Below are 22,010 nucleotides of genomic sequence, written 5' to 3'. Positions count from 1 at the left end.
TTTTTTTTTTCCTAGAAACACCTTCACAGACCCAGATGTGATCTGGGTATCCCTTAGCCCAGTCTAGGTGACACATGTTTTGTACAATATGTGGCTTTTTGTCTGGCTTCTTTCACTTAGCATATTTTCCAGGTTCATCCCGGTTTAGGTGTTTACCATTATTTCATTCCTTTTGATGGTCAAATAATCACCCATTGTGTGGACATACCACATTCTGTTTATCCATTCATACATTGATGGGCATTTGAGTTGTTTCTGCTTTTGTGTTGTTATGAGTAATGTTGCTATGAATGTTTATGTACGTGCTTTTTTTGGGGCATACATTTTTGGTTCTTTTGGGCACATACCTAGGAGTGGAATTGCTGGGCCACATGGTAACTCTGTTTTAGCCGTGCTGTGTTGCAGACCAGCTGTGAGTGAGTGTTGTGGGTTTCCAGCTGCCTTGGGATGCAGGAGGAGCCTGGGCTTTAGGTCAGACAGACCTGGATCTTGATTCTACCACTCCCTAGCCAAGTGACTGCACCCCCACAGTACAGTTCTGGGCCCAAGCTGGCAGGTGCAAATAGGCTTTGATATAAAACTATGTTTCCTCAGCTCTATAGGAAGACAGAGGTAGGGCATCTTCAGCTCATTGGGAGATCTAGCCCCTGCACCCACATAGCTCCTTTTGCTCTACTACTGCAAGAATTGTGTCTGGCTGCCACAGGCGAGAGCCAAAGCACTATGGGTTACCTTGAATCACAGAAGCTGTAGCCTCCGTTTCCCACCAACCTTTTCTATGACTCTGTTTACCCAGACCCAAGGCCTGCTGGCCAACTCAGTCCCTCCAGTGCAGGGGCAGTGGGTGGCAGATACAACAGTCCTCGTGGAGCCTCTGTGCTACGGGAGGCCAGGGTCATTCCCAGGCAGGCCCCCATCAGCCCAGGCCCGATGTTAACCCTTGACTCACAGTGACCTTGAACTTGAACAGTGACCATGACACCTTCTGGGTACCCACTTTTCTTTTCTGTAAAATGGGGTTGATGTTGGCTGTATTATAAGGTTGTAAAAAGATGATTAAATGAGGTGCACAATGTGTTTAGGGGACCTGGCAGGGCTCCTGATGCCCCTTGTGGGCTTCAGAAGTGGCACCTGTTATTCTGATCACGAGTGTGACTTCCGCATCCTGGGCTGTGCAGAGGCATGTTCTCAGCTCACCCCATCACACTGGAGTTCTCCTGGAGTTGGAAACTGTCTTCCTGTGGAAAGTTATGTTATGCTTTCAAGGCACTGTTTTCACAGAATTCCTCCGAACCCAAAGGTCATGGGCTTCCATGAATTTCCACCCAAAGTAGGAAAGTCTCTTCCTGCCACAGACAGATTTCTTAGATCTAATTTTGGTCTCAGCTGTCAGAGCTGGTTTTGTTTGTGGGGTTTGACCAGTGTTTCTTTTTCTTTTGGGGAGTTGTGGGGGGATAAGATCTTGTTCTGTTGCCCAGGCTGGAGTGCAGTGGTGTAATCATGGCTCACTGCAGCCTCAACCCCCTGAGCTCAAGCAATCCTCCCTTCTCAGCCTCCTCAGTAGCTGGGAATACAAGCATGCACTACTACACCCTGCTAATTTTATTTTTATTTTTTGTAGAGACCGGGTCTCAAAACTCCTAGCCTCAGTGATCCTCCTGCCTTGGCCTCCCAAAGTGCTGGGATTAAAGGTATGAGCCACTGCACCCAGCCTGCTTATTATTTCTTGGTTGGTCCTTGTTCAGCCTAGTGAATGTCATATTGAGAAGATCATTGTCCTGTGGTCTCAGACACTACAGGAAATCACATGTTAGTGGGCTCAGGTCTTCAGGCAAACACGTGAAGTAAAAATCACCCCTGAAAATCCCTAACTAGCCAATCAAGTAACTTTTGTCTTTCAAGAAGTCTTTAGCCATCACTTTATCTGCCATTGGATACAAAAGCAGTCCTGGACATGAGCCCCGCTTGAAATTGTTGGCTGCTGTTTGGGGGAACTTATGTTGAATGAAAAATAACAATAGCAAACACTTCCCCAGCACTTACTATATGCAAGCACTATTCCAGGTTTTTTATTTAGCATAATTCATTTCATCTTCATTACAAACCTAGGCACTATCATTTTCTCAGAGTCAAGATTAAAAAGACTGAAGCTAACAGAGAGAGCTGAGTGACTTGCTCAATGTCACACACCTGTTCACTTCAAGGAAGGGATTTGAGCCTGACACGGTGGCATGCACCTGTAATCCCAGTTACTAGGGAGGCTGAGGTGAGAGGATGGCTTCAGTCCAGGAGTTCGAGTCCAGCCTGGACAACATAGCAAGAACCCACCTCTAAAAAGAAAAAACAGAGGAGATTTGAACCCTTGGAATCGGGCTCTAGACTCCATATCTTACATTACATTGTGCGCAGATACTCACAGGGCGAGACACTCAGCGTGAGCTTTGCTGTGAGAACAGCAGATTCAGGGCTTCCATCTTAGGCTTACCCTGGGGAGTACTTTATATGTTCCTCCTGTAAATGCTGATGCAGAATTGACCCCACTCTTTAGAGCAGCTTCTCAGCCTTGGCACTATGGATATTTGAGGCAGATCATTCTATGTGGTGGAGGCTGTCCTATGTATCATAGGATGCTGGGCAGCACCCCAGCCCCCACCCACTACATGCCAGTAGCTTCCAACCCCTCAGATGTGACAATGAAAAATGTCTCCTGATGTGGCCAAGTGTCCCCTCACAGCCACATTGCCCCTGGTTGAGATCTCTGATTTAGATTATCCCCTCTCTGTCTGGGGTTTGGATTTGGATAAGTGAAATTTGTATTTGAGGGAACTCAAAGCACCTCTTAATACTTCTGTGTGTGACATTGACCCAAGAGAAGCCGGAGGTGTGGGGGGCAAGGAAGGAGAGGGCACAGGTGACAGTATTGATGACACCTTGGTGGGCACTCATCCTCTGAAATCAACAATAGCACATCTCTAATTGGTACCCACGCACAGACATGCACACACATCATGCTCCCACACACTAAGGAGAAGATTTTTAGTTTTTCTTTGTTGATTTTCCAGGAGTTCTGCTCACCTCAATGAGTGAGGACCCCTTATCCAGACCCCTGTCCCCTGAGCTTTTGGGGAACAAAGTTATATTGTCACCGGCTCTCTAAAATCTATTTTGAAATTATAGAAATATGACACATAAGCAGGTCCCATCAAGAGCTGATTGTTTAATTTTAAGGAAGGTCCATGATTACCAAGGAAAATAACCCACAGAATCACGGAACTAGACAAATTTCAGTTCTCTTTGATTAGGGCACGGAATTACGTATTTTGAAATTAACTCCTTACATCTAAGGCAGCTTAACTTCCTCTTATTTATATTTCTTGTTCACATGAAATTATTGCATAAGCTGTGTCCACAACAAAATCACTGAAGGGCCAGGTGTGGTGGCTCATGTCTGTAATCCATGCACTTTGGAAGGCTGAGGCGGGTGGGTTGCCTGAGCTCAGGAGTTCGAGACCAGCCTAGGCAACATGGTGAAACCCTGTCTCTACTAAAATACAAAAAATCAGCTGGACGTGATGGCAGGCGCCTGTAATCCCAGCTATTCAGGCGGTTGAGGGAAGAGAATTGCTTGTACCCGGGAGGTAAAGGTTGCAGTGAGCTGAGATTGTGCCACTGCACTCCAGCCTGGGTGACAAAATGAAACTCTGTCAAAATAAAATAAAATAAAAAACAATAAAATCTGAAGTGTGATTTCTGCTGACCTGTGACCCACATAATCTGGGAAGGCATTTGGGAGAGGACATTGGCCAGGTTCTTTGATGTTTTATCTTGGACGGCAGCTTGACTGCATGGACCTAGAGTATTTAGTTCTTTTCTTTTTTTCTTTTTGAGACAGACTCTTGCTCTGTCACCCAGGCTGGAGTACATTGGTACAACCTTGGCTCACTGCAACCTCCACCTCACAGGTTCAAGTGATTCTTCTGCTTCAGTCTTCTGAGTAGCTGGGATTACAGGCATGTATCACCATGCCTGGCTACATTTTGTATTTTTAGTAGAGACGAGGAGTCACTGTGTTGGCCAGGCTGGTCTCAAACTCCTGACCTCCAGCAATCCATCCGCCTCAGCCTCCCAAAGTGCTAGGGATTAAGGGCGTGAGCCACCGCATCCGGCCGAATATTTAATCATTCATTTATTTCAAGGTTGGCACTTTTGCCATTTGGGGCCAGGTCATTATCTGTCCTGTGTATCATAGGAGTTTTGCAGATGCTGGTAGCAGCCCCCACTGTGACAACCAAAATGTCTCCAGACATTGCTGGGGGACACTCCAGATCGCCCACCTCTTTGAGAACCACTGGCTTATTCTTTTGCTCATTCATTTATTCATTAAACCAACAAACATTTTCAAGGACCTTTGTGTGCCAAGCACAGTTCTAGGGACCACAGAGAAAACCAGATAGGCTTGGTCCCTGCCTTCCTGGAGCTGACATTTTACTTAGGGAGAAGACAATAAACATATAAGCAATGATCAAAACAAAGTAACTTGAGAGAGTAAAGCGGAATGTGATAAAAAAGCGTCCAGGGGCCTTTCTTCAGCCCTGAGGAGTCCTCTTCACGTGGAGCCCAGCCTCGGGGGTTCCATGGCCCCCTGCTAACCCTTCACTCGTGACAGGAGCAAGCCGGCTTCCGAGATGACTCAGAGACAGCCACAAATCATGTTCATGGATTCCCTGCATTAAAGTACAGATGTATCTCTCCCCTGGACTTTAAGATACTTTAGAATAAAAGTTGCAAAGTGACAGTCAGCCAACTGACTCCAAGCCTCCGGTATGCTCTTGTCGGCCAGGGAGATATTTTACATTAATTTGAATTTAAAATTTAAAATTAGAAAAGATCACATTAGGCTGGGTGCAGTGGCTCACACCTGTAATCCCAGCACTTTGGGAGGCTGAGGTGGGCAGATCACTTGAGGTTAGGAGTTCAAGACCAGCCTAGCCAACATGGTGAAACCCTGTCTCTACTAAAAATACAAAAATTAATCAGGCGTGGTGGCATGCACCTGTAATCCCCACTACTTGGGAGGCTGAGGCACAAGAATCGCTTGAACCCAGCAGGTTGCAGTGAGCCAAGATCACACCACTGCACTCCAGCCTGGGCGACAGAGCGAGACTCTGTCTGAAAAAAAGAAAGAAAAAGAAAAGATTACATTAAAAATCTGGATTGCTCAGAATAGATGAACACACCGAGACAGAGGCAGATTGGTGGCTGTCAGGATCTGGGAGGAGTGGGGAGAATGGGGAGAAACTGCCCAAGAGGTACAGGGTTTTGCTTTGGAGTGATGGAAATGTTTGGGACAACAGTATGAATTGTTCCCTTCATGCCACTGGAGTGTGTACTTTAAAATGGTTAATTTTGTGGGTTGTGAATTTCACTTCACTAAATTGGTTTTTAAAAATATGATTGCTGGCTTTTTTGTTTGTTTGTTTTAAAGACAATGTCTAGCTCTGTGGCGCAGGCTGGAGTGCAGTGGCATGATCACAGCCCTCAGCAGCCTCGAGCTCCTGGGCTCAAGCGATCCTCCCCCCTCAGCCTCCTGAGTAGCTGGGACTGCAGACATGTACCACCACACCGGCTAATGTTTTTGTTCTTTGTAGAGATAGGGTCTCTCTAGTTGCCTAGGCTGGTCTCAGACTCCTGGCCTCAGGCAATCCTCTTGCCTTGGCCTCCCAAGGTGCTGGGATTCCAGGCATGAGCTACTGTGCCCGGCCTGCTGGCTTCTTTTGGAAATCTGTTAGAGCCAGAAGAATGGTCTGGAGTTGCCAGGAGTTGCCTGTGGGTGAGCTTCGGCCCTCACCCACTCAGTTGACTGATTTCCCAGCTTTGCCCGGCCCTGTGAGCACCTGAGGTTGCAGCCCCCAACCCCAGCCCTGAAAACAGTGGTGAGAAAATATTATCCCAACGAAAGCATTTTCCAGGGGCCCAAGAGGCCTTGAGTTGGAATTCCTCCCTGATGCCGTGGTTTTCTCCCTAAACCTCTTGAAGCCACCTACAGGGGCCTGAGGGGCCTGTGTGGATAGGCCAGCCCCACGGTCAGGCTGTGCATATGGACATCTGAGGCCATCCAAGGCCACTCACCCAGAGCCCCATGTTCCTGTTCAGCCCCTGGCCTTTGTATATGCTGCTCTCTTGCTTCCTAAATTTGTCCTTAGATCTTTAAAACAAAATTTAAAATACATTTTTTAATTGAGATAGATTTCATATATCATGAATTCAAAATTCACCCCTTTAAATTATTTAATTCATTGGTTTTAGTATATTTACAAGGTTGTGCACCCATCACCACTGTCTAATTTCCAAACATTTTCATTACCCCAAAAAACCCCATGTCCTGTAGATCCTAATCTACATCACTGCTAAGCAGTGTTCTGTAACAAGGCATCTCTCCTTAGCTCCCACAACCCCAATGTCTACCCAGCCCTGATGGTCAGCTGTTGTGTCCACCTCTTGGGTCCTTGTGTTGGTTAAAATGTCAATAAAGAACCGAGAGCCTCATGGATACCCTGCTGGGACAAGCTCCCACAACTAAAGGGTCAGAACCCCGAACACCAGGACCAGCTGATGGGACCCTGCACCGTTGGCCATTCTCATTAGACAGTGGTCATCCCATATCAGTTGTTGAATATTTTGATTGTGACTCTGTTTACCCATTAATGACACTGTGCACACTGGGTCGAAACCACTCCTGAGCTCCTTTCCCTCCCTGCTAGAGATGAGTAACATCTGGGAGGGCAGAACTTTGTCCAGCCTGTTCACTGCCCTCTGACCTGGCCCTCCACCTGGTAGATGGGAGGTTCTCCACACATGTGTTGTTGTTGCTCTAAGCTCAATTTATGTGTTTTTGTTGTTGTTGTTTTGAGACGGAGTCTTGCTCTGTCGCCCAGACTCTGACACACACACACACACACACACACACACACACACACACACAGTGGCGCGATCTCGGCTCACTGCAACCTCCGCCTCCTGGGTTCAAGTGATTCTCCTGCCTCAGCCTCCTGAGTAGCTGGCATTACAGGCACCCGCCACCACGCCCAGCTAATTTTTGTATTTTTAGTAGAGACGGGATTTTGCTACATTGGCCAGGCTGGTCTTGAACTCCTGACCTCAGGTGATCCATCCACCTCAGCCTCCCAAAGTGCTGGGATTACAGGCATGAGCCACTGCGTCCAGCCTCTCAGCTCAATTTATTAAACTCAATGTTTCTTAAGCAGTGTTGAAAATCAATTAAAAACGTTTATGTGTTGACCATAAACTTAATTCTGTATCCTTGCGCAATTTAAATGACATCTCAAATTTAGCATTCGTGATTATGTGGAGCACCAAATAAACATGGAACCTAAAATACACACAGCAATGACAAAACTTACTATTTACAGAGTGGTGGGGATTTTTTAGTGGTTAATGAAACTGCAAATAAAATAAATATGTAAAATACAGCAGCAAGATACGTTGAATTGGAAAATGATATTTTGAGTTAGTGTCCTTAAAATAACTTAAAAAAAACTTTTTACTTTGAAATAATATCAGACTTACGGGAAGGTAGCAAGAATAGTACGAAGAACTGATGGGTACATTTTACCAAGATTCACTAATTGGACGAGTGCACTGGCTCACACCTGTAACCCCAGCAATTTGGGAGGTTGAGGCGAGAGGATCGCTTGAGCTCAGGAGTTGGAGACCAGCCTGGCCAACATGGCAAAACCCCGTCTCTACTAAAAATACAAAAATTAGCCTGGCATGATGGCACATGCTTGTAATCCCAGCTACCCTGGAGGCTGAGGCAGGAGGATCACTTGAACCCAGGAGGCAGAGGTTGCAGTGAGCCGAGATCACACCACTGCATTCCAGCCTGGGTGACAGAATGAGACTCTGACACACACACACATATACACACACACACACACACACACACACACACACACACACACACACGTATCATATAAACTCATGGATGCAGACATACTCTTGTTGTTACTCAAATTGTCCCATTGTTGACCAGTAGGAGCCTCTTCCAGTTGGCTTCTGAGTCTTCCTAGTTGTGTGTGTGTGTATGTGTGTGTGTGTGTGTGTGTATGTGTATTTGTTCTCTAAACTGTTAGAGAGTAAGTAACACATCATGCCCACTTGCCCCTAAATACTTCAATGTGCACTTTTTAAATTTATTTTTTATTTTTTGTAGAAACAAGATCTTGCTATATTGCGCCAGGGCTCCTAGGCTCAAGCAATCCTCCTGCCTTGGCCTTTCGGAGTGCTGGGATTACAGGCTTAAGCCACTGTGTCCAGCCATCAATGTGTACTGTAAGAAAAGGACATTCTCTTATGTAAGCAGAGTGCGATTATGGAAACTAAGAGACTATCTAATCTGTAGTTCATATTCCATTGTCCTTTAGAGTAATTTTTTCTCTCAGTTCGAGATTCAATCCAGAGGCTGGGCGGTGGCTCATGCCTGTAATCTTTTGGGAGGCTGAGACGGGAGGATCGCCTGAGCTCAGGAGTTTGAGACCGGTCTGGGAAACATAGTGAAACCCCATCTCTACTAAAATACAAAAATTATCCAGGCATGGTAGCATGTGCTTCTAATCCCAGCTACTCAGGAGGCTGAGGGATGAGAATCGCTTGAACCCAGGAGGTGAAGGTTGCAGTGAGCTGAGATCGCGCCACTGCACTCCAGCCTGGGTGACAGAGCGAGACTCAGGAAAAAAAAAAGAAGACTCAATCCAGGATCTCCATTGCATTTAGTTATTCTGGAACTATTCCGAGCCTTTCTTTATTTCTCATGACATGGACATTTTTGGAGAGTAAAAGGGCAGCAATTTTGAGGAATACACTTTAATTTGGGTCTGTCTGATGCTTCTCCTGATTATATCCAGGTTATGCTTCTTGGCAGAGATACTGCAGAAATGATGTTAGGATAAAGGGACATTTTCTTTTTTTGAGCTGTGCCACTACTAAAGATGGCCTAGAAATCGCATTTTTTTTTTCTTTCGTCATCCACTACCTCTTACCTACAATCCCAGGCCCCAGATTTTGGTCTTTCATTCTCTTTGCCACTCAAAGAACCCAGGACTCCTTAGAAAGGAGCTGATTCTAAGTCTTGAGGCAGAAACCAGTCAGACTGGATCTGGGACATCCTTTTGTTGACAAAAAGCAGGAATACTGTTTTTTTAACAAAGTATATTTTTTGAGACAGGGTCTTGCTCTGTTGCCCAGGCTGCAGTACAGTGGCACAATCTTGGCTCACTGTATCCTCTGCCTTCCAGGCTCAAGTGATCCTCCCACCTCAGCCTCCCAAATAGCTGAGACCACAGGTGTGCACCACCATGCCTGGCTAAGTTTTTAAAAAATTATTTTTAGTAGAGATGGGGTTTCGCCATGTTGCCCAGGCTGGTCTTGAACTCCTGAGCTCAAGCGATCCAACCACCTCAGCCTCCCAAAGTGCTGGGATTACAGGTGTGAGCCACCTGTGATTTTTGCCTGGCCAAAAATGCTTTTTAAAAAGTTATAGGCTGTTCAAAAAGAATAAATAAACTAAAGAGCCTCCCACAGGCCAGGTTGCAGTAGTGATTCAGTATTTGCTGAAGGAGTTAATATGACCACTCAATTCTCCCATTAAATAACCACTGAGTTAGGGTTTACCACTGATGTCCATAGTTTCTAGAATGCCATACATTTTAGGGTACATTGGTTTGGTTATAGCTTTTAAGAAGTAGAGGTGGGACATAAACACCATATTAAATATTTGCAACCATTAGTAGACACACCCTGGTTCCAGAAATATTAAAATGGTCAAAAATAAAAATGCAAGGGAAGACAAGATTCTTTCTCCATTTTGCAGATGAGGAAACTGAAGTTCCCAAGAGCCAGGTAGCAGACACAAGTGAGTATTTGCTGCCTTCAGATCTTGTCCAGTTTCTAGCAGAATCTAGAAGCTCTTCAGAAGAAAAAGCACAAGGCCAGGCACAGTGGCTGACACCTATAATCCCAACACTTTGGGAGGCCAAGGCAGGCTTGGCCCAGGAGTTTGAGACTACCCTGGACAATATAGCAAGACCCTGTTTCTAAAAAAAAAAATTGTTTTCAATTAAAGAAAAGAAAATGAAAAGCATATAACTGGGGGAATACTACTTTTTACTGCCAGTGCGAAAAAAAAAAAAAAAAAAAAAAAGAACCCCACTCAGGGTGAAAACAAAAACAAGAATAAAGGCTCCATAACTTCTGCAATCTCTGTGAGCCACTCCCTCTTTTCATGCCATCTGGCTGGCTGGTTTCTGCTCCAGACTTCTGGAAAGTCAGTCTCGGGCCTCTCTGCTCTTTTCTGTCCATCAGTTAATAACTCCGAGTCCCCTGTTTTGAAAAGGTGAATGTGAGTACAGCTGTCCTCATGGTCTCATCCACTCACCCCCAACTCTCCTCAAGTAAGCCTGGGACCCCTCATTTCACCATCTGCTTCTAAGAGGAACCTCACTCTCCTTGTCTTTCCTGCCCCTTGAAACCACCTAACACAACAACATACCTTATGCAGAGTTAAAATTCTTCAACAGGCCGGGCATGTAGGCTCACGCCTATAATTCCAGCGTTTTGGGAGGCAGAGATGAGAGGATCACCTGAGGTCAGGAGTCTGAGACCAGCCTGACCAACATGGCCAAACCCTGTCTCCACTAAAACTACAAAAATTAGTCAGGCGTGGTAGTAGGCACCTGTAATCCGAGCTACTCGGGAGGCTGAGGCAGTAGAATCATTTGAACCTGGGAGTCGGAGGTTGCAGTGAGCCAAGATCCCACCACTATACTCCAGCCTGGGCAACAGAGTGAGACTCTGTCTCAAGCAAACAAAAACAAAAAGAACTTCTTCAACATTAGAGCCTGTAGCAGGGAGCTTTTGATGCATGACAGATTTCCCCCAACTTAGCAGCTACAGATAACAAACATTTATTATCTTATACCTGAAGTTCAGGAATTGGAGCAGCTCGGCTGGGTGGTTCTGGCTCAGGGTCTCCAGAGGTTGTAGTCAGAGGTTGCTCAGAGCTGCAGTCATCAGAAGGCTTGACTGGGGCAGGAGGAGCTGTGTCCAAGATGGCGTCCTCCCATGGCTGTTGGCTGGAGGCCTCAGTTCCTTGCCATGTGGGCCTCTCAACATAGGGCTGCTCCCAACATGGCAGCTGGCTTGCCCTAGGGAGAATGAGGGAGAGAGTGATCAAGACAGAAACAGAGTCACCTGGGCTTGGTGGCTCACACCTGTAATCCCAGAACTTTGGAAGGCCAAGGCAGGCAGATCATGAGGTCAGGAGATCGAGACCATCCTGGCCAACATGGTGAAACCCCATCTCTTCTAAAAATACAAAAATTAGCTGGGTGTGGTGGTGTGTGCCTGTAATCTCAGCTACTTGAGAGGCTGAGGCAGGAGAATCACTTGAACCCGGGAGGTGGAGGTTGCAGTGAGCCAAGATCGCACCATTGCACTCCAGCCTGGCGACAGAGTGAGACTCCATCTCAAAAACAAAAACAAAAACAAAAACAAAACATAAGCTGCCATGTCGTTGATAACCTAATCTCAAAAGTGACATACAATCACTTCTGATATATTTTATTGGCCACTCTGATGACCAGGACCCCTGCTTCATTGTGAGACGTGACTACACGAGGGTATGACCACCAGGCAGTCAGGATCACCGGTGGCCATCTCAGAGGCTGGCTACCACAGGTCCCATCCCAAAGAAGGAACAAACGCATGGGTATCTACCGTGTCCACTGTGCTCCAGGCCTTGATGTTAGGTAGATGTGATTATCTCCATTTTGCAGGTGAGGAAATAGGCCCAGAAATGTTGACTTACTTGCTCAAGGTCACACAAGTAAATGGCAGAACTGTAATTTGAAAGGAAGTAGTCTGCTTCCCTGATTACTTAAAAAAAGAAAAAAAAGGCCGGGCGCGGGCGCACACCTGTAATCCCAGTACTATGGGAGGCCAAGGCGGGCAGATAACAAGGTCAGGAGATCGAGACCATCCTGGCTAACATGGTGAAACCCGTCTCTACTAAAAAAAAAATACAAAAAATTAGCTGGGCGTGGTGGCAGGTGCCTGTAGTCCCAGCTACTCGGGAGGCTGAGGCAGGGGAATTGCTTGAACCCGGGAGGCGGAGCTTGCAGTGAGCCGAGATGGCGCCACTGCACTCCAGCCTGGGAGACAGAGCAAGACTCCATCTCAAAAAAAAAAAAAAAAAAGAAAAAGAAAAAATATTTACTATAGAGAATTCCAAACATACAAAATAGAATAATACAGTGAATCCCATGTCCCTATCACCCTCATTCAATGATGCCCAATTCATGACCAATCATTTCGCATTTCTATCCCAGCTTTTCACCTTCCCCCGATCATTTTGAAGCAAACCACAGAGATCACATCAATTCAAATATACATATTTTGATATCCCTAAGAGACAAAAATGATTTTTTTTTTAGAGACAGTATCTCACTTTGTCATCAAGGTTGGAGTTCAGTGGCATGATCTTAGCTCACTGCAACCTCCACCACCCAGGTTCAATCCTCAGTCTCCCAAGTAGTTGAGATTATAGGTGCGCACTACCACGCCTGGCTAATTTTTGATAAGAATCATTTTTTTTTTTTTGAGATGAAGTTTCTTCCTTGTTACCTAGGCTGGAGTGCAATGGCGTGATCTCAGCTCACCACAACCTCTGCCTCCCAGGTTCAAGCGATTCTCCTGTCTCAGCCTCCCGAGTAGCTGGGATTACAGGCATGTGCCACCATGCCTGGCTATTCTTTTATTTTTTTTTTTATGTTTTCATTTTTATTAGAGATGAGGTTTCTCCATGTTGGTAAGGCTGGTCTCGAACTACCGACCTCAGGTGATCCGCCCGTCTCGGCCTCCCAAAGTGGCTCCCAAAGGCCATGAACCACTGCGCCTGGCCAAGATTCATTTTTAAAAATAAAACTACAATAGAATTTTCTGAACTTTCAATCTTTTTTTTTTTTCTACAGGGTCTTGTTCTGTCACCCAGTCTGGAGTACAGTGGCATGATCAGGGCTCATTATAGCCTCGACCTCCCCTGCTCAAGTGAGCCTCCCACTTTAGCCTCCTGAGTAGCTGAGACCACAGGTCATGCCACCACGCCTGGCTAATTGTTTGATTTTTTGTAGAGATGAGCTCTCACTATGTTGCCCAGGCTGTTCTCGAATTCTTGGGCTCAAGTCACCTTCCTGCCTCAGCCTCCCAAGGTTCATGAGCCACCGTGCCCAGATTCCAGTTTTCTAAACTTTAAAATAATTCACAATACTCAAATGGAATGAAATATTTAGCCAGCGTCCCTATCCTTGATTGTCTCATAACTTTATTTTTTACAGCTTATTCATTTGAGTCGTAACTGAAATAACATCCACACATCACAATATTACAGTTGGTTGCTATATAAAATCCCTTTTATGGGCCGGGCGCGGTGGCTCACGCCTGTAATCCCAGCACTTTGGGAGTCTGAGGCGGGCTGATCACAAGGTCAGGAGATCAAGACCATCCTGGCCAACACGGTGAAACCCTGTCTCTACTAAAAATACAAAAAAAAAATATTAGCTGGGCATGGTCGTGGGCGCCTGTAGTCCCAGCTACTTGGGAGGCTGAGGCAGGAGAATGGTGTGAACCCGGGAGGCAGAGCTTGCCTTGAGCTGAGACCGTGCCACTGCACTCCAGCCTGGGCAACAGTGCCAGACTCCATCTCAAAAAATAAAATAAAATAAAATAAAATAAAATCCCTTTTACTACATAGGCTTCTCACCCTCTCCTCTCTCTCGCTCTCTCTTTCTTATCTTTTAAATTGTTCTTTTTTTTGAGACAGGGTCTTGCTCTGTTGCCCAGGCTGGAGTGCAAGTGGCATGATCACATCTCACTGCAGCCTTGAACTCCTGGGCTCTAGTGAGGCTCTCACCTCAGCCTCCCAAGTGGCACACACCATCACGCCTGGCTACTTTTTATATTATTATTTTTGGAGAGATGAGGTTTCACCATGTTGCCCAGGTTGGTCTCAAACTCCTGGGCTCAAGCGATCCTCTTGCCTCAGCCTCCCTAAGTGCTGAGATTACAGGCATGAGCCACCGTGCCCAGCCCATCTTTTAAATTTTTTTATTTTTTTTGCTTTGCAGGCGAGTTGTTGTTCTGTGAGGCTTGCTGGTTGCATCCTGTTGCATCCTTTAATATTTTCCTTGGTTCTCTGTATTTCTTGTAAATGAGTAGTGAGAGCTACAGTCCTGATGTTATCCAGATCCGAGTGTTTTCAGCATGTGGTCTTCAAAGGAGGGGGTATGTTCTTCCATCAGGAGGCTCCCAGCGCCTGGCGGTCTCTCAGGAACCGTTGGTGCTCAGTCCTCCATCCTTGAATTCTTCAGGGATTGTGACAGGGCGGTGGCATTCTGACTCTATCATTTCATTTGTGAGCTGAAGGGATCCAGAAGGAGAAACTCCCCTCATCGAATGTGTGGTCCTTGCACGGTACACTTTGTAGAGAAAAGGCATAATGCATGCTTGAAACTTGTCCTTCGCTGCTCAGTTTTCAAAGTAATGAGTTCGGTCCCCTGCGTCTTCCATGAGGTGAGCAATGAGGGTTTTTCTTAAGTGTCAGATAGGCCGGGCACAGTGGCTCACACCTGTAATCCCAGCACTTGAGGAGGCCAAGGCAGGCAGATCACCTGAGGTCAGGAGTTCGAGACTAGCCTGGCCAACATGGTGAAACCCTATTTCTTCCAAAAATGCAAAAATTAGCCAGGCGTGGTAGTGCACGCCTGTAATCCCAGCTACTCGGGAGGCTGAGGCAGGAGAATCACTTGAACCCGGGAGGTGGAGGTTGCAGTTAGCCAAGATCATGCCACTGCACTCCAGTCTGGGCAACAGAGCGAGACTCTGTCTTTAAAAAAAAAAAAAAAAGCATCATATAAACTCATGGATGCAGACATATTGTTATTGCTACTCAAATTGTCCCACTGTTGGCCAGTGGGAGCCTCTTTCAGTTAGCTTTCACCATGTTGCCCAGGTTGGTCTGAAACTCCTGGGCTCAAGCAACTTCCTTAACCTGACTCTCATGGCGTCTGGCAGCTTCATTGCTCTCTGGGGTGTTCCAATGTCCCTGCCCCATTGTGTGCATTTCTCCATCTCTACCTGGAATCTGCCATTTCTCCAGGGATCCCAGGCTCCTCTGAGTGGAGATTGGAGTTCAGAGGCCACTGCCTCGGGTCGCCTGTGTTACTAGCTCTCTGTGGTTAAGCCTGCTAATCTGAGGGTTCCAGGGGCAGCCTGGAAACCCTGGGCTGAGAGTGAGTGGGGACCTAGGACCTCCTGTTGATTCTGCCACTCAGAGCAGCTGCTAGCCCAGAGGATGTTACCCTGAAAACTAGGACAGGTGGCCCCCTCTCAGACAGACACAGACCCCTACCAGGTACCTAGCTGGGGAGTAGAGCATGGGCAGATTTCAGCACTTGCCCCCAACCCCCATCTCAGCCAAGCGCCCTCACCCTGTGCACCACCTGCATACATAACTGATTCTTTACTCCCACTCGGGGAAGCTCATGTCACCTCTCTGAGCACCAGTGTCCTCATCTGTAAAATAGCACAATGTCCTCTTCCTACCTCACTTATTTTCTCTGGCTCATTGGACCTAAGGCAGATGTTATAGGTTGAGCTGGGTTTTCCCAAAAGGATATGTTGACATCCTAACTCCCTCAAATACTGAACCTTACTTGGAACTAGGGTCTTTGCAGGTGTAATTAGTTAACATGAGGTCATACTGGAGTAGGGCAGGCCCCTAATCCAGTATGACTGGGGTCTTTATAAGAACATGTGAGGATAGAGACACAGGGAGAGGCAGAGATTGGAATGATGTGGCTACAAGACAAGCAATGCCAAGAATTGCCACTGTTATGGTTTGAATATTTGTCCCCTGTAAAATGCATGTTGAGATTTGATTGCTATTCTAACACTGTTAAGAGCTGGGACCTTTAAGTGATGATTCGGCCGTGAGGGCTGTGCCTCATGAGTGGGTTTCATACCTTTATAAAGGGGCTGGTGGGAGTGAGTCCTGTCTCAGGGCTCTTCTGCCCTTCTGACATGTGAAGACAGTGTTCCTCCCCTCCTGGGGGTGCAGCATTCAATGCATCACCTTGGGAGCAGAGACCGGACCCTCACCAGATACCGAGTGTGCTGGCACCTTGATCTTGGACTTGCCAGCCTCCAGAACTGTGAAAAATACTTTTTTTTTTTTTTTTTTTTTTTTTTTTTTTTGGTGAGACAGGGTCTCACTCTGTCACCCAGGCTGGAATGCAGTGGTGTGATCACAGCTCACTGAAGCCACAATCTCCTGGGCCCAATCAGTCCTCGCACTTCAGCCTCCCACATAGGTTGGACCATAGGTGTATGCCACCATGCCCAGCTAGGTTTATTTTTTTTATTTTGTAGAGACAGGGTCTCCCTATGTTTCCCAAGCTGGTCTCAAACTCCTGAGCTCAAGTGATCCTCCCACCTTGGCCTCCCAAATGCTGGGATTACAGACGTGAGCCACCGTACCTAGCCAAATAAATATTTCTGTTGTTTGTAAATTACTTGGTTGATGATATTCTGTTACAGCAGCACGAAATGGGCCAAGTTAGAAATTGGTACCAGAGAAGTGGAGTGTTGCTATAACAAGTACCTGAAAATGTGGCAGAGATTAGAATGATGCCACTACAAGCCAAGCAGTGCCCAGAGGTGGAGGGTGAAGGGTTAGAAGCCACACACAGGGCCCAGCCTGGGCCCAGCATCCAGAGGCACCCCCCCAACTTGTCCCTGGGGCTCACACTTTCATTTTGATGCTGAGCATACCCAGACTCTAGAGTCGATATGTCTCTTTATTTTTTTATTTTTATGTTTTTGAGACAGAGTCTTGCTGTGTCGCCCAGGCTGGAGTGCAGTGGTGCGATCTTGGCTCACTATAACCTCCAAGCGATTCTCCTGCCTCAGCTTCCCGAGTAGATAGGATTACAGGTGCGTGCCACGATGCCTGGCTAATTTTTGTATTTTGAGTAGAGACAGGGTTTCGCTATGTTGCCCAGGTTGGTCTTTAACTCCCAGCCTCAAGTGATCCACCCACCTCGGCCTCCCAGAGTGCTGGGATTACAGGCAGGAGCCACCATGCCCTGCTGGGTATGTCTCTTTAAAAAGAAATAAAGAACAGAAACAAGAGGAAAAAACTGTGGCAACCAGAGGGAAGTTTGTTCTTTTATTCACTTCTACACATAAACCTCTATTGTGCTGACCTTTGAATGGAAACTGAGCACTTGGCAATCAGCCTCTGCTCAGATATCCCAACAGTCCCAAACCCTGACCTCCCGGCTCAGATGTTGGGGCAGTAAGAGGATGTGCTGTCTTTTGAATTAAGAAGCCCGTTTCAGAAGGATGATGGAGCTAACATTGCATCTAGGTCACTCTGGAAAAGAAAAATCAGATCAGCCCAGATGGTTCATCCCCTGGGTTAGTGCAGGCCCCACGGCGTTCCTGAAGGGTTTATAGGGACCTTTGCTTTTTTAGGCTTGGGTTTCTTAAGTCCTTTCTGCTTTGTTGCTGAAACTGAGTTCATCTTGCAAATGGAAGAGAAGAGAGCACTTCAATTGTCCCACACAGAAGAATCACTCGGGAGACTCGTTAAAGTGCAGATTCTAGCTCAGGAGGCCTGGGGGTGGGGTTGTGGGTCCTGCATTTCGTAACTCCCAGGAGGTATGGTGGAACTAGTGGATGGAGAAGTGGCTGAGAATGTACTTCTTCCTGGGCAAACATCATCTTAGCTGCCTCCCCTGGCACCTGGGGGTTCCTTGAACCCAGCATCTTCATGGTGGCATGCCACTGCTAGTGAAGCAGTGTTGTCTGTGGTAAATACCTGGGGTTCATTGTCTCGTGCCAAGAAGATTAAGGACATGGACACACATAAGGAATGAGTTTAGAAGCAGAGGTTTAATAGGCAAAAGAAAGAGAAAGGGGAACAGCTTTCTTCCTAGTGAGAGAGAAGGGCTTCCGAAGGGAAAAATCCAGCCGGAGGTGGACCACAGCAGATTTTATAGGCAGGTTTGAGGAGGTGGTGTCTGATTTACATAGGGCACACAGATTGGTTGGATCAGGTGTGACGTTTATGTAGCACTCAGGGAAGGCTGGCCACCCCACCCTAATCTTATTACACAAATGGGCTTTCGACTTGGCCCATGCCATGTTGTTTGCTTCTTACTGTACACATGGCTGGCAAAGAGAAGGGAAGATGCTCACACCTGTAATCCCAGCACTTTGGGAGGCCGAGGCGGGCGGATCATGAGGTCAGGAGACTGAGACCATCTTGGCTAACACAGTGAAACCCTGTCTCTACTAAAAATACAAATTAAAAAAAAATTAGCCGGGCATGGTGGCACGCGCCTGTAGTCCCAGCTACTCAGGAGGCTGAGGCAGGAGAATCGCTTGAACCCAGGAGGCGGAGGTTGCAGTGAGCCAAGATTGTGCCACTGCACTCCAGCCTGGGCAACAGAGCAAGACTCTGTCTCAAAAAAATAAGAGAGAAGGGAAGATGGAGCCTCCATGTTGGACATGCCTGGTCCGAGGTAGCCTTTTCCTATTGGCACAACTTGGCCTTTTCCTATTGGCACAGCTGCTGGCATTCACCCTGGAAGCTTCCAGCTTGCTTGTCTATGTCTGCAGCTGGATTTTACAGGCTGCTCTTTGTTAGAAAAGAAAATAATTTGGGGGCTGATTTTCATTAAAAGGAAAACCTTAGTTGGTACTCCCATACCCTATTTGCCTAAGTAGTTTCTTCTGAACTCCTACATCAGTAGCAGAGAAGCCACCTGAGTGTAAGTGGGTGTCGGGGCCAAAGAAAGAAATAGCAACACCCTACTTATTTTTAACAATGGGGAAAAACATTCGTCTGACAAAGGATGTCCAAAAAGAGCGTTACTGGTCATGGTTTTTTCCTCTTTCTTCCGTTCTCAAAAATGTTGACTATTAATGAGTCAAGCAATAAGTAGAGTGATAGGAACCACAGCTGCTGGAGGGCTCTCTCTGATCTGGCATGGTAGTTTTTTATCTCCCAGAAGCCTGTAAACCAAAAATAAAAGTCTAAGCCCCCCAACCAACTGAATGGACCCCTCCTATCGGCCAAGGGCATTCCAAAGTTAACCTAAAGAACTAGTTCAGGCCATGATGGGAAGAGGTGGGGGTCAGACATGCCTCGTTCTACCCTCCTCCCATTGGAATCCAGGCACAGCTGACCAGCATTAACATTAACACAGGGACCTTAATACTGGACAAACAGATTGTTTTTAGCAATGACATCCCAACAGCACAGATAGCAGGCCCTGAAAGAAATTGAAGTATTTTACCGCAAACTACATTTGAGGACTAAACTCTAATTTTTTTCCTATCTTGCCCAAATTCCTATCTAAGGGGCCTGGATAGGACCCCTACAAACCATAAATTTTCATCAGATAGGTTTTATTTAACCCTATATATCGTGACTTACTTTCCAATCTGATTCTGGTGTAACATTACATGACAAAGAAGAAAATCAAAATATTTTACCCCAAGATGGTCGGGCGCAGTGGCTCACACCTGTAATCCCAGCACTTTGGGAGCCCGAGGCGGGCGGATCACAAGGTGAGGAGATCAAGACCATCCTGGCTAACACGGTGAAACCCTGTCTCTACTAAAAAATGCAAAATATTAGCCAGGCATGGTGGCGGGCGCCTGTAGTCCCAGCTACTCGGGAGGCTGAGGCAGGAGAATGGCATCAACCTGGAAGGCGGAGGTTGTAGTGAGCCGAGATCACGCCACTGCACTCCAGCCTGGGCGACAGTGCGAGACTCCGTCTCAAAAAAAAAAAAAAAAAAAAAAATTTTACCCCAAGACATGTTTCTTTGTCATATTTTGAAATGGTCCTGCAAAGCCATTCTTTGTGGGGGAAAATTTACATCTGTAAAGAATCTCTATTAACATAGCTAGATTTTTTCTTCCAGGCCCTCCCAATGCTGAAGAGATTAACTGAGAACCTAGCACCTTTTAAAGGTCTGAATAGGAAGCATTTGTCTTCTATTGTCTCTAAGGGCTGCCATTATAAGACTTCAAAAGAACCTTGGTCTCCACAATCTTTTATCTTCACCTGAACATTCCCTTTCTATTGATCCCAGGTCTTTAGACTCAACCAATTGTCAACCAGAAAATTTTAAAATTTATCTATAGCCTAGAAGGTCCCTACCAACCAGCCCCCTCCTCCTGCCCCTCTTTGAGTTGTCCCGCCTTTCTGAAACAAACAAATGTAACATTGTACCTTTTTTTTTTTTTTTTGAGACAGAGTCTCACTCTGTCATCCAGGCTGGAGTGCAGTGGCACAATCTTAGTTCACTGCAACCTCTACCTCTTGGGTTCAAGCCTTTTGCCTCAGCCTCCCAAGTAGCTGGGATTACAGGCACCTGCCACCACGCCTGGCTTTTTTTTTTTTTTTTTTTTTTTAGTAGAGATGGGGTTTCACGTGTTGACCAGACTGGTCTTGAACTCCTGACCTCAGGTGATCCACCAGCCTCAGCCTCCCAAAGTGCTGGGATTACAGGTGTGAATCACCACACCCAGCCCCAATGTATATCTTGAATGTATTTGATTGATGTCTCATATCTCCCAAAAATATATAAAACCAGGCTGTACCCCAACCACCTTGGGCACATGTTCTCAGGATCTCCTGAAGGCTATGTCATGGGCTACGGTCACTCATATTTGGCTCAGAATAAATCTCATCAAATGTTTTAGAGAGTTTGACTCTTTTCATCAACACATTTTTTTGTCGTATTTTGAAAGAGCCTACAGAACTGTCTCTTGGGGGGGAATTCTGCACTCTGTTGAGAACCCCCTTCCCTTTCCAGGTGCTTCCTCTGATCCAGGAGAGAATTCACTAAGAGTGGTGCCTTTTTAAGGCTGGTAAAAAACATTTGCCATCTGTTCTCTCTGAAGCTGGCTACCAGGAGGGCATCATCTGTGATATAAAAACCTTGCTCTTGTCCGGGCACGGTGGCTCATGCCTGTAATCCCAGCACTTTGGGAGGCCGAGGCAGGTGGATCACAAGGTCAGGAGTTCGAGATCTGTTGGGAAAAAGGCTTGTGGGGTGCCTGCATAAACTGGCCATAAAAATATGGGACAATAAGTTGTGGAAAGCCACAAGAGGCCGCTGAGGAGGAAAGCCTCCTAATTGCCATCATGTTCCCATGCTCAGAGTGAGACCTGCTCTCTTATCTGCAAACACTGTGTTCAAGGAGAAGGACACTCCTTTGAAGCACTGGAATGTGGAGAGACATGCAGGCTCCTTGTTAAGCCCACTCCTACTAGCTACTCTCTGTTAAGTTAAAAATACGCTGTTTGAGCACAAAGGAGATTCATTTAAACCGCTACTACTACAGTATGACATACTGTCTCCCTTTCCCCGTTTCACCCCTGAACATCTGCTTCTCAGATCTAAGTGACTGTACTCAATAAATAGTGTGGAGACCAGAACTCTGAGCCCTTTGCAGCCTCTGATTTGCTCTGGCCCCCTGGCTCCCACCTTTATGAACTCTTAACCTGTCTCTTCTCATTCCTTTGTCACCACCGGACTTCGGGTACCTTACGGGTGGTGTTGAGGCTGGTCCCCAACAGAGACCAGCCTGACCAACATGATGAAACCCTGTCTCTACTAAAAATACAAACAATTAGCCGGGTGTGGTGGCGGGCGCCTGTAGTCCCAGCTGCTCAGGAGGCTGAGGCAGGAGAATCGCTTGAATCCGGGAGATGGAGGTTGTAGTGAGCTGAGATCGCACCACTGCACTCCAACCTGGGCGACAGAGCAAGACTCCATCTCAAAAAAAAACAAAAAAAAAACCTTGCTCACAACCCCTCATCTTAACCCAGACACTCCTTTCTCTTGATTCCAGGT

General features: G+C 46.5%; 1 protein-coding gene across 13 annotated transcripts in view, besides 2 other annotated features; it reads left to right on the top strand.

The window, feature by feature from the left end:
* TVP23A (trans-golgi network vesicle protein 23 homolog A) overlaps positions 1-22,010 on the top strand; it is a 61,477-nt gene that overhangs the window by 8,567 nt on the left and 30,900 nt on the right. For 2 of the 13 annotated variants that reach the window (NR_134903.2, XM_017023651.3), the window contains exon 2: positions 9,890-9,931. The exons of 9 other annotated variants lie outside the window; for them this stretch is intronic. The gene's annotated coding sequence lies outside the window, so the exon portion shown is untranslated. Of the gene's footprint in view, positions 1-1,621; positions 1,692-9,889; positions 9,932-22,010 lie in introns of all 13 variants that reach the window. 2 more of the 13 variants (NR_134904.2, NR_134901.2) reach the window with 1 other exon arrangement.
* Positions 15,174-15,273: an enhancer, noted in NCBI's record as "active region_10387". NCBI's record gives its function as "activates an Ori minimal core promoter by ATAC-STARR-seq in GM12878 lymphoblastoid cells {active_cell/tissue: GM12878}" and the evidence as "EXISTENCE:reporter gene assay evidence [ECO:0000049][PMID:35858748]".
* Positions 19,888-20,426: an enhancer, noted in NCBI's record as "NANOG hESC enhancer chr16:10883659-10884197 (GRCh37/hg19 assembly coordinates)". NCBI's record gives its function as "activates a minimal SCP1, AML or CMV promoter by ChIP-STARR-seq in naive H9 embryonic stem cells {active_cell/tissue: H9 hESC(naive)}" and the evidence as "EXISTENCE:reporter gene assay evidence [ECO:0000049][PMID:30033119]".

This window comes from Homo sapiens, chromosome 16 (genome assembly GCF_000001405.40).
Source record: "Homo sapiens chromosome 16, GRCh38.p14 Primary Assembly".
NCBI classification, from domain to species: domain Eukaryota; kingdom Metazoa; phylum Chordata; class Mammalia; order Primates; family Hominidae; genus Homo; species Homo sapiens.
Note: the sequence above shows the minus strand (reverse complement) of the source record. Positions and strands in the feature narration are given on the sequence as shown.